The sequence below is a fragment of the Homo sapiens genome, chromosome 6 (assembly GCF_000001405.40).
Source record: "Homo sapiens chromosome 6, GRCh38.p14 Primary Assembly".
In the NCBI taxonomy this organism is placed as follows: Eukaryota; Metazoa; Chordata; class Mammalia; order Primates; family Hominidae; genus Homo; species Homo sapiens.
In genome coordinates, this window is record NC_000006.12 from 41978023 (window position 1) to 41994327 (window position 16305).

General features: G+C 42.3%; 1 protein-coding gene across 9 annotated transcripts in view; it reads right to left on the bottom strand.

Annotated features, from left to right (window-relative positions):
- Nucleotides 1–16305, bottom strand: part of CCND3 (cyclin D3) — a 115103-nt gene that overhangs the window by 43090 nt on the left and 55708 nt on the right. The window contains exon 2 of one of the 9 annotated variants that reach the window (NR_187571.1): nucleotides 13402–14019. The exons of the other annotated variants lie outside the window; for them this stretch is intronic. The gene's annotated coding sequence lies outside the window, so the exon portion shown is untranslated. Of the gene's footprint in view, nucleotides 1–13401; nucleotides 14020–16305 lie in introns of those variants that run through there. 9 annotated transcript variants of the gene reach the window in all.

Here is a 16305-nt window from a genome sequence, read left to right on the forward strand (position 1 = left end):
CTAGCCTGGGTGACAAAGTGAGACCCTGTCTCAAAAAAAGAAAAAAACTCTAACCATTAAGATTTTTTTTGACAGGGCGTGGTGGCTCATGCCTGTAATCCCAGCACTTTGGGAGGCCGAGACGGGTGGATCACGAGGTCAGGAGATCGAGACCATCCTGGCTACCATGGTGAAACCCCATCTCTACCAAAAATATAAAAAATTAGCCGGGCACGGTGGCGGGCACCTGTAGTCCCAGCTACTCGGGAGGCTGAGGCAGGAGGATGGCATGAACCTGGGAGGCGGAGCTTGCAGTGAACTGAGATGGCCACTGCATTCCAGCCTGGGCAACAGAGCGAGACTCCATCTCAAAAAAAAAAAAAAATTAGCCAGGCGTGGTGGCGCATCCCCGTAATCCCAGCTACTTGGGAGGCTGAGGCAGGAGAATCGCTTCAACCCAGGAGGTGGAGGTTGCAATGAGCCGAGAGTGTGCCACTGCACTCCAGCCTGGATGACAAAAGCGAAACTTAGTCTCAACAATAACAACAACAACAAACCCCTCAAAACTACCTGAGTTGAAAAGAGGATTCCTACCACATTAAAATACAAAACATGGGTGGGGAGGTGTTGGGGGAAGTGTGGTGCTGATGTGTTCTATCTACTGATCTGGCGTCCTGTGCTTCTTTCATGAAAGCTATGACTTGTGCCCCTGTTTTACACCCAGAGAGAAATACTCTAAATATTACTATTGGTCATCTCTATATGGGTGGTTAGGGGTGATTTAAAATCCTTTCTTTAAAAATGTTATTTATTTTCTACAATGACATGTTGCATTTCTATACTTAGGAAAAAAGTGAAAAAAATTTAAATCTCACTCCTACTACATATGATCCTGGCTGGGTGGGGTGGCTCACGCCTTTAATCCCAGCACTTTGGGAGGTAGGCGGATTACCTGAGGTCAGGAGTTCAAGACCAATTTGACCAACATGGAGAAACCCTGTCTCTATTAAAAATACAAAATTAGCTGGGTGTGGTAGTGCATGCCTGTAATCCGAGCTACTTGGGAGGCTGAGGCAGGAGAATCGCTTGAACCCAGGAGTCGGAGGTTTCAGTGAGCCGAGATCACACCATTGCACTTCAGCCTGGGCAGTAAGAGCAAAACTCTGTCTCAAAAAAAAAAAAAAAAAAAAATCCTGACTTGTTCTTTTGGAAAGTAACTTATCAAGGCTTTTAAAAATATTCAAAATAACGGCCGGGCACAGTGGCTCACACCTGTAATCCCAGCACTTTGGGAGGCCAAGGCGGGTGGATCACGAGGTCAGGAGATCGAGACCATCCTGGCTAACACGGTGAAACCCCGTCTCTATTAAAAAATACAAAACATTAGTCTGGTGTGGTGGCAGGCACCTGTAGTCCCAGCTACTCGGGAGGCTGAGGCAGGAGAATGGCATGAACCTGGGAGGTGGAGCTTGCAGTGAGCTGAGATTGTGCCACTGCACTCCAGCCTGGGTGACAGAGTGAGACTCCACTTCAAAAAAAAAAAAAAAAGAAAAATATATATATATGTTCAATATATTCAAAATACCTTCCATTGTCAGACAAGGAAAAAATCTCTCTCTGTCTCTCTCTCTCTCTCTCTCTCTATATATATATATGTATATATATATATATGGATCTATTTATCTATCTCTCTTCAAACCAGGCATAGGAAATGTTTGAAAAAAATTCTTTAGCAAATCCTTAACAGTGATCACTCCTGTGGAGTCTGTCTGGGGAAGGTGGGTGTTGAGAAACTTTTATTTTTTTTGTTTTTTAATAGAGACTGGGTCTTGCCATGTTACCCAGCCTAGCCACCAACTCCTGGTCTCAAGTGATCCCCCTGCCTCGGCCCCCTAGAGTGCTGGCATTACAGGTGGGAGCCACTGTGCCCAGCCAAGTTTCACTTCTTTACTTGGTATATTTCTACATGGTTTGTTTATTTAACAATGAACATATGCTGCTTTCAAAATCACACACACACACACACACACACACAATCAAACCTTTGACCAGAATCCTCTAATCCTCTATCTATCTTAAAAGACAAATCTTAAAAACAGGAAGTATCAGGCTCAGATAGGTTTACTGGAATTTTTTTTTTTTTTTTTTTTTTGAGACAGAGTCTTGTTCTGTTGCTCAGACTGGAGTGCAGTGGCACAATCTTGGCTCGCTGCAACCTCTGCCTTCCAGGTTCAAGTGATCCTCCTGCCTCAGCCTCCTGAATAGCTGGGACTACAGGCACCTGCCACCACTCCTGGCTAATTTTTGTATTTTTAGTTGAGACGGGGTTTTACCATGTTGGCCAGGCTGGTCTCGAACTGCTGACCTCAGGTGATTGTCCAACCTCAGCCTCCCAAAGTGCTGGGATTACAGGAGTAAGCCACTGCACCTGGCCTTACTGGAAAATTCTAGCAAACATTTAAGGAAGAAATTATACAAATTCTCTACAAACTCTTTCAGAAGACAGAGGCAGAGGAAATCCTTAACTCATTCTATAAGGCCAGCATTATCCTAATATCAACAGCAGACACAAATGTTAGAAGAAAACTATAGACCAATATCTCCTATAAACACAGATACAAGAATCCTCAACAAAATATAAGCAAATTTAATCTTACTATGTATAAAAAGAATTATACATTATGAGCAAGTGGGATATAGCTCAGGTATGCAAAACTGGTTCAACATTTGAAAATCAATTAATGTAATCCGCCACATCAATAGGCTAAAAAAGAAAAATCACATGATCTCGTCAAGAGATGCAGAAAAAGCACTGATGAAATCGAACATCCATTCATGATAAAAACTCACCAAATTAGGAATAGAGGGGAACTTTCTCAACTTGATAAAGAACATCTGCAAAAAACCCTACAACTAACATCATACTCAATGGTGGGAAACTAGAAGCTTTCCCACAAAGACCAGGAACAAGCGAAGGAGGTTTTCTCTCACCACTTTCTTTCAGCATTGTACTGGAAGTCCTAGCTAATGCAATAAGAAAAGAAAATAAAAAGCATAAGATGGGGAGGGAAGAAATAAAATTATCTTTGTTTGAAGATAAAATTATTATTTATGTAGAAAATCCAAAAGAATTGACAAAAAAATCCTTCTGGGACTAATAAGCAATTATAGCAAGTTGCAGGATATAAAAATATTTATTTATTTATTTTTATTTACTTTTTTGAGATGGAGTCTCCCTCTGTCACCCAGGCTGGAGTGCATCGGTGCGATCTCTGCTCACTGCAACCTCCGCCTCCCCAGTTCAAGCAATTCTCTCCCTCAGCCTCCTGAGTAGCTGGGATTATAGGCACCCACCACCATCCCTGGCTAATTTTTGTACTTTTAGTAGAGACAGGGTTTCACTATGTTGGCCAGGCTGGTCTGGAGCTCCTGACCTCGTGATCCACCTGCTTCGGCCTCTGGAAGTGCTGGGATTATAGGCTTGAGCCACCACGCCCGGCCATGAGCCACCACGCCCAGCCTATTTATTTATTTATTTATTGAGACAGGGTCTGCTCTTTCACCCAGGCTGGAGTGCAGTGGCGTGTTCTCGGCTTACTGCAACCTCTGCCTCTGGAGTTCATGAGATTCTTGTGCCCCAGCCTCCTGAGTAGCTGAGATTACAGGCATGTGCCACCACACCTAGCCAATTTTTGTATTTTTAGTAGAGATGGGGTTTCACCATGTTGCCCAGGCTGGTCTCAAACTCCTGAGCTCAGGCAATCCACCCACCTCAGCCTCCCAAAGTGCTGGGATTACAGGCCTGAGCCACTGTGCCCAGCCAAGGATATAAAGTTAATATACAAAAGTCAAAGCCAGGCACAGTAGCACACACCTGTAGTCCCAGCTACCCAAAAGGCTGAGGCAGGAGGATTGCTTGAGCCCAGAAGGTTGAGGTCAGCCTGGACAGCATAGTGAGACCCTATCTCTTTAAAAAAGTCAATCATGGCCGGGCACGGTGGCTTATGCCTGCAATCCCAGCACTTTGGGAGGCTGAGGCGGGCAGATCACCTGAGGTCAGGAGTTCGAGACCAACATGACCAACACTGAGAAACCCTGTCTCTACTAAAAATACAAAAATTAGCTGGGTGTGGTGGTGGGTGCCTGTAGTCCCAGCTGCTTGGGATGCTGAGGCAGGAGAATCGCTTGAGCCCGGGAGGCTGAGGTTGCAGTGAGCAGAGATTGTGCCATTGTACTTACTCCAGCCTGGGCAACAGAGTGAGACTCCATCTCAAAAAAAAAAAAAAAAGTTCATCATTTCCTATATACTAGCAATGAACAAGTGGAATTTGAAATGAAAAACGCATTACCATGTACATTAGAACCCCTAAAATGAAATAAGTTTAAAACTAACAAAATATGTACAAGGTCTATATGTGGAAAACTAGAAAACTCTGATGAAAGATATCAAAGCAGAACTCAATCAATAGAGAAGACTCAATGGTGTCAAAATGTCCATTCTTCCCAACCCGATTTAGAGATTCAAAGCAATCTCACTTAAAACCTCAGCAATTGATTTTGCAGGTAGTGACAAACTGATTGTAAAGTTTATATTGAGAGGCAAAAGACCCAGAGTAGCCAACATAATATTAAAGGAAAAGAACAAAGACAGAGGGCTGACACTACCTGACTTCAAGACTTAATATAAAGCAACAGTAATCACGACAGTGTGGTATTGGCAAAAGACTCGACAAATAGATCAATGAAACAGAACTGAGCACCCAGGAATAGACCCATAGAAATACAGTCAACTGATCTTTGACAAAGGAGCAAAGGCAATACAATGAAGTGAAGATAGCCTTTTCAACAAATGGTGCTGGAACAACTGGACATCCACATGCAAAAAAAAAAAAAAAAAAAAAGAATCTAGATACAGATCTTATGCTCTTCACTAAGGTCAACTAAAAATGGATCATAGACCTAAATGTAAAATACAAAACCATAAAACTCCTAAAAGATAGCACAGATAAAAATCTAGATGACCTTGGGTAGAGTGATGACTTTTCATCACTCAGCTTTACTGAGGTATAATTGACAAATAAAAAGGTATATGTTGGCCGGGTGCAGTGGCTTACCCCAGTAATGCTAGCACTTTGGGAGGCCAAGGCAGGCTGATCACCTGAGGTCAGGAGTTCAAGACCAGCCTGGCCAACATGGCGAAACCCTGTCTGTACTAAAAATACAAAAATTAGCCGGGCATGGTGGCGGGCGCCTGTAATCCCAGCTACTCGGGAGGCTGAGGTAGGAAAATCGCTTGAGCCCAGGAGGTTGCACTGAGTCGAGATCGTGCCATTGCACTCCAACCTGGGCAACAGTGAGACTCTGTCTCAAAAAAAAAAAAAAAAGGTGTATGTTAGTGGTATATATATAATGAAATTATTACTACTATCATGCTAATTAACATATCCATAACATATAGTTATAATTTTTTGTGGTAAAACCATTTCTGAGTTATACTCTTAGCAATTTTCAAGTATACAAATATCATCATTATTAACTATAATCACCATGTGGCCAGGTGAGGTGGCTCAAACCTGTAATCCCAGAACTTTGGGAGGCCAAGGCAGACAGATTAGATTGCTTGAGCCTAGGAATTCAAGACCCGCCTGGGCAACATGGTGAAACCTCATTTCTACAAAAAATACAAAAATTAGCTGGGTATGGTGGTGCCTGCCTGTGGTCCCAGCTAGGAAGCTGCGGGAAGCTCAGGTAGGAGGATCGCTTGAGCCTGGGAGGTTAAGGCTATATGAGCTGAGATCACACCACTGTACTCCAGCCTGGGTAACAAAGTGAGACTCTGTCTCAAAAAATAAAAATTAAAAATAAGCAAACCACCATGCTGTACAATAGATCTCTGAATCTATTTATCCTATCAAACTGAAACTGTACCCTTTGACCAACATTCCCCATTCTCCCCTCCCACCAATCCCCTGGCAACCACCATTCCACTCTCTACTCCCAAGAGTTTGACTTTTTAAAATTTCACATATAAGTGAATTATGAAATATTGATTTTTCTGTGCCTGACATTTCATTTAGCATAATGTCCTCAATATTCATCCATATTATCACAAATGGCAGGATTTCTTTCTTTTTTAAGGCTGAATATTATTCCATTGCATATATAAATCACATTTTCTTTATTGATCATTCAATGGATATTTAGGTTGATTGTATATCTTGGCAATTGGGAATAACACTGCTATGAACATAGAGGTACAAATATCTCTTGGACATACGGATTTGATTTCCTTTGGATATACACCCAGAAGTTGGAGTGCTGGATCATATGGTAGTTCTGTTTTTTTGTTTGTTTGTTTGTTTGAGACGCAGTTTCGCTCTTGTTGCCCAGGCTGGAGTGCAATGGCACAATCTCTGCTCACTGCAACCTCCGCCCCCCAGGTTCAAGTGATTCTCCTCTCTCAGCCTCCTGAGTAGCTGGGATTACAGGCGCCTGCCACTACACCCGGCTAATTTTTTGTATTTTTAGTAGAGATGGGGTTTCACCATGTTGGCCAGGCTGGTCTCGAACTCCTGACCTCAGGTGATACACCTGCCTCGGCCTCCCAAAGTGTTGGGATTACAGGCATGAGCCACCACTCTCGGCGGGTAGTTGCTGTTTTTAAGTTTTCAAGGAATCACCATACTTTCCTTTATAGTAGCTATACTAATTTACATTCCCACCAACGGGACTGTGTGCAAGCATTCCCTTTTCTCCACACCCTTGTCAATGTTTATCTTTTGTCTGTTTGATAGTAGCCATTCTAACAGGTGTGAGGCGATACCTCATTGTGATGTTAATTTGCATTTCTCTGATGATTAATGATGTTAAGTACCTTTTCATGCACAGATCAGCCATGCACATACCTTCTTTTGAGAAAGGTCTATTAAAGTCTTTTACTCATATTGTTTTTCTCTTCCTCTCTCAACTGACCTTTGCTCATTTTTTAATCAGGTTATTTGTTTTCTTGCTATTGAGTTACATAAGTTCCTTATATATTTTGAATATTAATTTCCTATGAAATGTGTGGTTTGCAAATATTTTCTCACATTCTGTAGGTTGTCTCTTCACTCTGTTGATTGTTTTCTTTGCTATACAGAGTTTTAGTTTGATGCAATCCCATTTATCCATTTTTGCTTTTGTTGCCTGTCCTATGTCATTATGGGGCCATATCCAAAAAAATCTTTGCCCAGGCCAATGTCAAGAAGCTTTCTCCCTAAGTTTTCTTCCAGTAGTTTTACAGTTTCAGGTCTCAGTTCAAGTCTTTTTTTTTTTTTTTTTTTTTTTTTTGAGATGGAGTTTCGTTCTTGTTGCCCAGGCTGGAGTGCAATGGCTTGATCTCAGCTCACTGCAACCTCCGCCTCCCGGGTCCAAGAGATTCTCCTACCTCAGCCTTCCGAGCAGCTGGAATTACAGGTGTCCACCACCACACCTGGCTAATTTTGTGTATTTTTAATAGAGACGGGGTTTCACCATGTTGGCCAGGCTGGTCTCGGACTCCTGACCTTAGGTAATCCACCCGCCTCGGCCTCCCAGAGTGCTGGGATTACAGGCGTGAGCCACCATGCCTGGCCAGTTTAAGTCTTTTTTTTTTTTTTTTTTTTTTTGAGACGGAGTCTCGGTCTGTCGCCCAGGCTGGAGTGCAGTGGCGGGATCTCGGCTCACTGCAAGCTCCGCCTCCCGGGTTCACGCCATTCTCCTGCCTCAGCCTCCCAAGTAGCTGGGACTACAGGCGCCCGCCACTACGCCCGGCTAATTTTTTGTATTTTTAGTAGAGACGGGGTTTCACCGTTTTAGCCGGGATGGTCTCGATCTCCTGACCTCGTGATCCGCCCGCCTCGGCCTCCCAAAGTGCTGGGATTACAGGCGTGAGCCACCGCGCCCGGCCCAGTTTAAGTCTTTAATCTATTTTGAGGTGGTCTAAGATAAAGGTCCGATTTCATTCTTCTGCATGTGGATATGCAGTTTTCCCAAAACCATTTATTGAAGAGATTGTCCTATCCCCAGTGTGCATACATGCCAGCTCTGTTTAAGATCAATTGACCATAAATGTGTGGACTTATTTCTGGGTTCCCTATTCTGTTCCGTTGGTCTATATGTCTATTGTTATGCCAGTACCATGCTATTTTGATTGCTATAGCTTTACAGTATATTTGGAATTTAGGTAGTGAGATGCCTCCAGCTTTGTTCTTTTTGCTCAAGATTGTTTTGGCTATTCATGATCTTTTGTGGTTTCATATGAATTTCAGGATTGTTTTTTCTATTTCTGTAAAAAATGTCATCAGAATTTTGATGGAGATTGCATTGCTCTGTAGGTAACGTCAGGTAATAATTAATTTAAACATTAATTCTTCCAATTCATGAACACAGAATATCATTCCATTTATTTGTGTCTTCTTTAATTTATTTCATCAATATTTTATAGTTTTCTATGTACAAGTCCTTTACCTCCTTGATTAAATTTATTCCTAAGTATATTATTTTTGCTGATGCTATTATAAATGGGATTATTGTTTTGATTTCTTTGGGGGATAGTTTGTTGTTAGTGTATAGAAATGTTACTACTTTGGTATGATGATTTTGTATTCCATAATTTAACTAAATTTATTAGCTCTAACAGCTTTTTGGTGGAGTCTTTGGGGTTTCTTTTAATATACGATCATGTCATCTGCAGAGACAATGTTACTTCTTCTTTTCCAATTTGGATGCCATTTATTTGTCTTACCCAATTGCTCTAGCAAGGACCTCCAATACTATATTGAATAGAAGTGGTGAGAATGGGCATCCTTGTCTTGTTCCTTGTCACGGATCTATTTCTGAGGATTTTCACTTTGGAAATGTTCTCCATAAGAATCAGGCCCATACTTGCATGATTAATGCAATCCTGATAGCCACTGCATTGTAGAGATTCATCTTCATAGTATAATATGCTACCTTCACAATTAGTTGATAAAGTCGTCTGCCTAAATAACTACCCCATTTTTGAATAGTCATTACTATTCTGTGTAAATTCCTAATGTATGCCAGAACATGTCAATATCCTGTAAACCAGCTCTGGATATTAATTAACTCTGGATTAATGGGATGGACTTTCTATTTTTACAGTAGGAAGAAAATGGCAAAAACATATTGTCAATTACATTTCGCACTCATTCCTCTCTTTTGAGCTCCTCACTTTAACTTTAACTCACTGATTGGTTCTGGTGCCTGTAACATTGGCTCCAAAGGCTTGTGGCATTGTCCTAATACTTCAGTGATACCTTGGAAGGACCCCGATATTGCTTCCTATTGAGAGGTAGCAGCACTTCAGAAAAGACTGGGTGCTTATACAAGCTAGCCAATTGGTAAGGCTTATGGAGTACTTCTGCTTAACTTTAGATCTTTGGTATATTAAAAGCTTTGCCTTCTGTAACCACAACTCCCATGGACCAGGCTTTTCTCTCTCTCTCTCTCTCTCTCTCTCTCTCTCTCTCTCTCTGTGTGTGTGTGTGTGTGTGTGTGTGTGTGTGTGTGTGTTTTAGAGACAGAGTCTTGTTCTGTCGTTCAGGCTACCAGTGGCTCAAGTGATCCTCCAGCCTCAGTCTCCCAAGTAGCTGGGACTACAGGTGTGTACCACCATACTCAGCTAATTTTTTTTTTTTAATAGAGAGGGGGTCTTGCTATGTTGCCCAGACTGGTCTCGAACTCTTGGGCTCAAGTGATCTTCCTGCCTTGGCCTCCCAAAGTGCTGGGATTACAGGTGTGAGCCAGCATGACAGGCCACGGAATTTTTTTCTGAATGGTGAATTATATACACCTGGAATCTGCTTTGTGCTGAGGAGAAAATGCATCTTTTACACTTAGTGATCTCTTTTCTTTGCTTCCTTTTTGAGCTTAGCTTTGTTCTCTTCTCTCTTTTTTATCTCTGCAAACTCCTCTAGTGCCTCCCTAAATTGCATCACTGGTTCCCCAAACCATTCTCAGGTACTCCTTCAGATAAAAATAATTAAAACAGACCAGGCACGGTGGCTTATGCCTGTAATCCCAGCACTTTGAGAGGCCAAGGCAGGCGGATCACCTGAGGTCAGGAGTTCGAGACCAACCTGACCAACATGGAGAAACCCTGTCTCTACTAAAATAGCCAGGCATGGTGGCGCATGCCTGTAATCCCAGCTACTCGGGAGGCTGAGGCAGGATAATTGCTTGAACCCGGGAGGCAGAGGTTGTGATGAGCTGAGATCGTGCCATTGCACTCCAGCCTGGGTGGGCAACAAGAGTGAAACTCTGTCTCAAAACATAATAATAATAAAAATTAAAACAGTATTTCTCATTCTTACAGCCGCTCACCATCTTCTCTCAATCCTGATAGCCACTGCTGCCTAAATAACTACCCCATTTTTGAATAGTTATTACAATTCTTTTAAGTGCCTAATGTATGCCTGAACATGTCAATATCCTGTAAACCAGCTCTGAATTTTAACTGCTGGATCATTTTCCTTTTTTTCTAAATGTATTCACAATACTGTTCCTAAAGGAGTACGGATTTCCTACAACTGATGGCCAGCCTTGCAGCTGGGCTAACATGGCCATGGCCTCTTGGCCTCATGGGGGATGGCTTTTTAGATATAATGCCAAAGGCATGATTTATGAAAAAATAATTGATAAGCTGAACTTCTTTTCTTTTTTTTTTTTTTTTTGAGACGGAGTCTGGCTCTGTCGCCCAGGCTGGAGTGCAGTGGCGCGATGTCGGCTCACTGCAAGCTCCGCCTCCCGGGTTCACGCCATTCTCCTGCCTGAGGCTCCCGAATAGCTGGGACTACAGGCGCCTGCCACCGCGCCCAGCTAATTTTTTTGTATTTTTAGCAGAGACGGGGTTTCACTGTGTTAGCCAGGATGGTCTCGATCTCCTGACCTCATGATCCGCCCGCCTCGGCCTCCCAAAGTGCTGGGATTACAGGCGTGAGCCACCTCGCCCGGCCGATAAGCTGAACTTCATTAAAATTTAAAACCTCCGCTCCACAAAAGGCAATGTCAAAAGAATGAGAAGACAAGCCACAGACTAGGGGGAAATAATTGCAAAGAACACATTTGATAAAGGATTGTTATTCGCAATATGCAAAAAAAACTCTTAAAATCTCAACAATAAGAAAACAAACAACCTGGGCACTGTGGCTCATGCCTGTAATCCCAAGACTTTGGGAGGCTAAGGCGGGTGGATCACCTGAGGTAAGGAGTTCGAGATCGGCCTGGCCAACATGGTGAAACCCCATCTCTACTAAAAATACAAAAATTAGCTGGGTGTGGTCTTTGGTATATTAAAAGCTACTCGGGAGACTGAGGCAGGAGAATCGCTTGAACCTGGGAGATGGAGGTTGCAGTGAGCAAGATTGTGCCATTGTACTCTAGCCTGGGCGACAAGAGTGAAACACTGTCTCAAAAAAAAAAAACAAAAAAAAAAAACAGAAAAGAAAACAACAATCTGATTACAAAGTGGGCAGAAGAACCAAGCTGATATCTCACCAAACATCTACAGATAGCAAATAAGCATATGTAAAGGTGTTCTAAATCATATGTCATTAGAAAATTGCAAATTAAAACAATAATGATGTACCACTATGCACCTATTAGAATGACTGAGATACCAAACATTGGCATATCAAGTGCTGGTGAGAATGTGAAGCAACAAAAACTCTCATTCATTGCTGGTGGGAATGCAAAATGGTATATTCACTTTGGAAGACAATTTAACAGTTTCTTATATGACTAAAAGTACTATTCTATAACCCGGCAGTTATACTCCTTGGTATCTGCCCAAATGAACTGAAAACTTACGTGCACACAAAAACCTGCACACAGATGTTGATAGTGGCTTTATTCATAATTGTCAAAACTCTGAGGCCCAAGCTGTCCTTCAGTAGGTGAATGGATACCAAAGCCAGAGCAATTAGGCAAGAGAAAAAAAATAAAGGACTTATAAATTGGAAAAGAAGGAAGTCAAATTGTTCCAGTTTGCAGATGACATAATCCTATACATAGAAAAAGCTAAAGACTACCAAAAAACTGATAAACAAATTCAGTAAAGTTGCAGGATACAAAATCAACATACAAAAATCAGTAGTGTTTCTATACATGAACAATGAACTAATTGAAAAAGAAATCAAGAATGCAATTCCATTATAATAGCTCTAAAAAAAAAACCTACAAATAAATTTTACCAAGGAGGTGAAAGACTTCTACAAGGAAAACTACAAAACACTGATGAAAGAAATTGAAGTTGAAGATGATACAAATGGAAAGACGGCCCATGTTCATGGATTGGAAGAATTAATATTGTTAAAATGATCGTATTACCAAAAGCAATCTACAGATTCACTGTACTATCTATCAACATGTCAGTATATTCTTCATAGAAATAGAAAAAAAAATCCTAAAATTCATAAGAAACCACAAAAGACCCCAAATAGGCAAAGCAATCCTGAGCAAAAAGAACAAAGCTGAAGGCATTACACTACCAGTCTTCAAAATATACCACAAAGCTGTAGTAACTAAAATAGCATGGTAGTGACATAAAAATAGACACATAAACCAATAGGAAATAATAGAAAACCCAGAAATTAGTCCATGAATCTATAACCAACTGATTTTTTTTTTTTTTTTTTTTTTTTTTTTTTTGTGATGGAGTCTTGCTCTGTCACCCAGGCTGGAGTGCAGTGGCAAAGTGGCAAAATCTCAGCTCCCTGCACCTCTGCCTCCGGAGTTCAAGTGATTATCCTGCCTCAGCCTCCAGGGTAGCTGGGACTACAGGCGCCTGACACCATGTCCGGCTAATTTTTGTATTTTTAGTAGAGTCGGAGTTTCACCATGTTGGCCAGACTGGTTTTGAACCCCTGACCTAAGGTGATCCGCCCACCTCAGCCGCCCAAAGTGCTGGGATTACAGGTGTGCGCCACTGCCCCGGCTTAGCCAACTGATTTTTGACAAAGGTGCCAAGAACACTCACTGGGGAAAGGATAGTCTCTTCAAGAAATGGTGCTGGGAAAACTTTTTTTTTTTTTTAAGGCGGAATTTCCCTCTTGTTGCCCAGACTGGAGTGCAATGGCGTGATCTCAGCTCACTGCAACCTCTGCCTCCTGGGTTCAAGCGATTCTTCTGCCTCAGCCTCCCAAGTAGCTGGGGCTACAGGCATGTGGCACCACACCCGGCTAATTTTTGTATTTTTAGTAGAGACAAGGTTTCACCATGTTGGCCAGGCTGGTCTCAAACTCCTGACCTCAGGTGATCCACCCGCCTTGGTCTCCCAAAGTGCTGGGATTATAGGCGTAAGCCACCATGCCCAGCCCCGCTCAGGTACATAGCTCAGCTGATAGCTCATTTCTTTTTACCACAAAATAATACTCCATTGTCTGGATGCACCAGTTTGTTTCTTTTTAATTTAGTATAATTGTATTTTTTAATTGATACATAATAATTGTACATATTTATGGGGTACATAGTGATGTTTCAATACATATAGTGTACAGTGATCAGAGTAATTAGCATATCCATCATCTCAAACATTTGTCATTTTGTTTGTTTTGGGAGCATTCAGTATCCTCCACCTAGCTGTTTGAAACTATTATTATTATTCTTAACTGTAGTCATTCCAACAGTGGCATAGAACACTGGAACTTATTCCTCCTATGTAGCTGTAATTTTGTAACCTTTAACAAATCTCTCCCTATGCTTCCTTTCCCCTCCCCTTTCCATCCTCTAGTATTTTCTGTTCTACTTTTTCCTTCTATGACATCAGCTTTTTAAAGCTTCCACGTGTGAGTGAGAACATGCGGTGTTTAACTTTCTATTCCTGGTTTATCTGACTTCACATAATGTCCTCAGTTTCATCCACGGTGACATAAATGACAGGATTTCATTCTTTTTTATGGCTGAAAAGAATTCCATTGTGTACGTGCCACATTTTCTTCATCCATTCATCAGCTGTTGGACACCAAGGTTGATTCGATATCTTGATTGTTGTCAATAGCGCTGCAATAAATACGGAGGTGTGGATGTCTCGTCAATATACTGATTTCCTTTCCTTTGGATAAATGCCCAGTAGTGGGATTGCTGGATCATATGGTAGTTTGATTTGTAGTTTTTTTGTTTTATTTATTTTTTAATTTTTGAGAAGAAGTCTCACTCTGTCGCCCAGGCTGGAGTGCAGTGGCATGATCTCAGCTCATTGCAACCTCCACCTCCTGGGTTCAAGAGATTCTCATGCCTCAGCCTCCCAAGTAGCTGGGATTACAGGTGCCTGCCACCATGCCCGGCTAATTTTTGCATTTTTAGTAAAGACGTGGTTTTACCATGTTGGGCAGGCTGGTCTCAAACCCCTGACCTCAAGTAATCCTCCTGCCTCAGCCCCCAAAGTGCTGGGATTACAGGCATGAGCCACCACACCCAGCCGGTTTTTTTTTTTTTTTTTAGATGGAGTCTTGCTCTGTGCCAGGCTGGAGTGCAGTGGCTCACTGCAACCTCCACCTCCCGGGTTCAGACAATTCTCCTGCCTCAGCCTCCTAAGTAGCTGGGATAACAGGCATGCGCCACCACGCCCAGCTAATTTTTGTATTTTTAGTACAGACGGGGTTTCACCATGTTGGCCAGGCTGGTCTCGAACTCCTGACCTTGTGATACACTGGTCTCGGCCTCCCAAAGTGCTGGGATTACAGGTGTGAGCCACAACACCCAGCAATATTTTATCTATCTTGGGACAGGGTCTCGCTCTGTCACCTAGGCTAGAGTATGGTTCCACTATCATGGCTCACTGCAATCTCGTCCTCCCTCAAGCAATCCTCCTGTCTCAGCCTCCCAAAGTGCTGAGGTTACAAGCATGAGCCTCTGTGCCTGGCCTTGTTTTTATTTTTGTTTTTAAAGATGGAGTCTCACTCTTTCATCCAGGCTGGAGTGCAGTTGTACAATCATAGCTCTCTGTAGCCTTGAACTCCTGGGCTCAGGCAATCCTCACACCTAAGCCCCTAAGTAACAAGACTATAGGCACACTATATCATGCCTGGCTTAAAAATGTTTTGTAGAGACAGGGTCTTGATGTGTTGCTTAAAATGGTCTTGAACTCCTGGCTCCAAGTGATCTCCCCACCTTGGCCTCCCAAAGCTCTGGGATTACAGGTGGAAACCACCATACCTGGTCTGATTTACAGTTTTTTGAGGAAACTCCATAATGTTTGCTATAGTGGCTGCAATAGTTTATATTCCCACCAACCGTCTATGAGATCCCTTTTCTCCTCATCCTCACAGCATAGATGATACCTCATTGTGGTTTTACTTGGATTTCCCTGATGATTAGTGATGTTGAACATTTTCCCATATATCAATATATTTGTTAAGCTCATGTCTTCTTTTTTTTTTTTTTTTTTTGAGATGGAGTCTTGCTCTGTTGCCCAGGCTGGAGTGCAGTGGTACCATCTCAACTCACTGCAGCCTCTGCCTCCTGGGTTCAAGCAGTTCTCCTGCCTCAGCCTCTGGAGTAACTGGATTACAGGCATGCGCCACCATCCCCAGCTAATTTCTGTATTTTCAATACAGATGGGGTTTCACGATTTGGCCAGGCTGGTCTTGAACTTCTGACCTCAGATGATCCGCCCACCTCGGCCTCCAAAAAAAAAGCTGGCTGGGTGCAGTGGTTCACTATCACGAGGTCAGGAGTTTGAGACCAGCCTGGCCAACATACTGAAACCTGTCTCTACTAAAAATACAAAAAATTAGCTGGGCATGGTGGTGGGTACCCATAATCCCAGCTACTTGGGAGGCTGAGGCAGGAGAATAGCTTGAACCCGGGAGGTGGAGGTTGTAGTCAACCAAGATCACACCACTGCACTCCAGCCTGGGTGACAGAGCGACAGACTCTTGTCTTAAAAAAAAAAAAAAAAAAAAAAAAAAAAAAAAAAAAAGAGCTATCAAGCCATGAAAAGACATAGAGAAAACTTAAGTGGATATTACTTAGTGAAGAATGCCAATCTGAAAAAGCTTCATACTAGATGACTCCAAATACAGTCATATGCCACACAGTTTTCGGTCAACAATGGACTGCATATATGACGGTGGTCCCATGAGGTTATAATATCTTATTGTTACTCTACCTTTTCCACCTCTAGATAGACAAACTACTTGCCATTGTGTTACAGTTGCCTACAGAATTCAGTACAGTAACCTGCTATACAGGTTTGTAGCTTAGGAGCAATAGGCTATCCCATATAGTCTAGGGGTGTAGGAGGCTATTCCATCTAGGTTTGTGTAAGTACACTCGATGATGTTC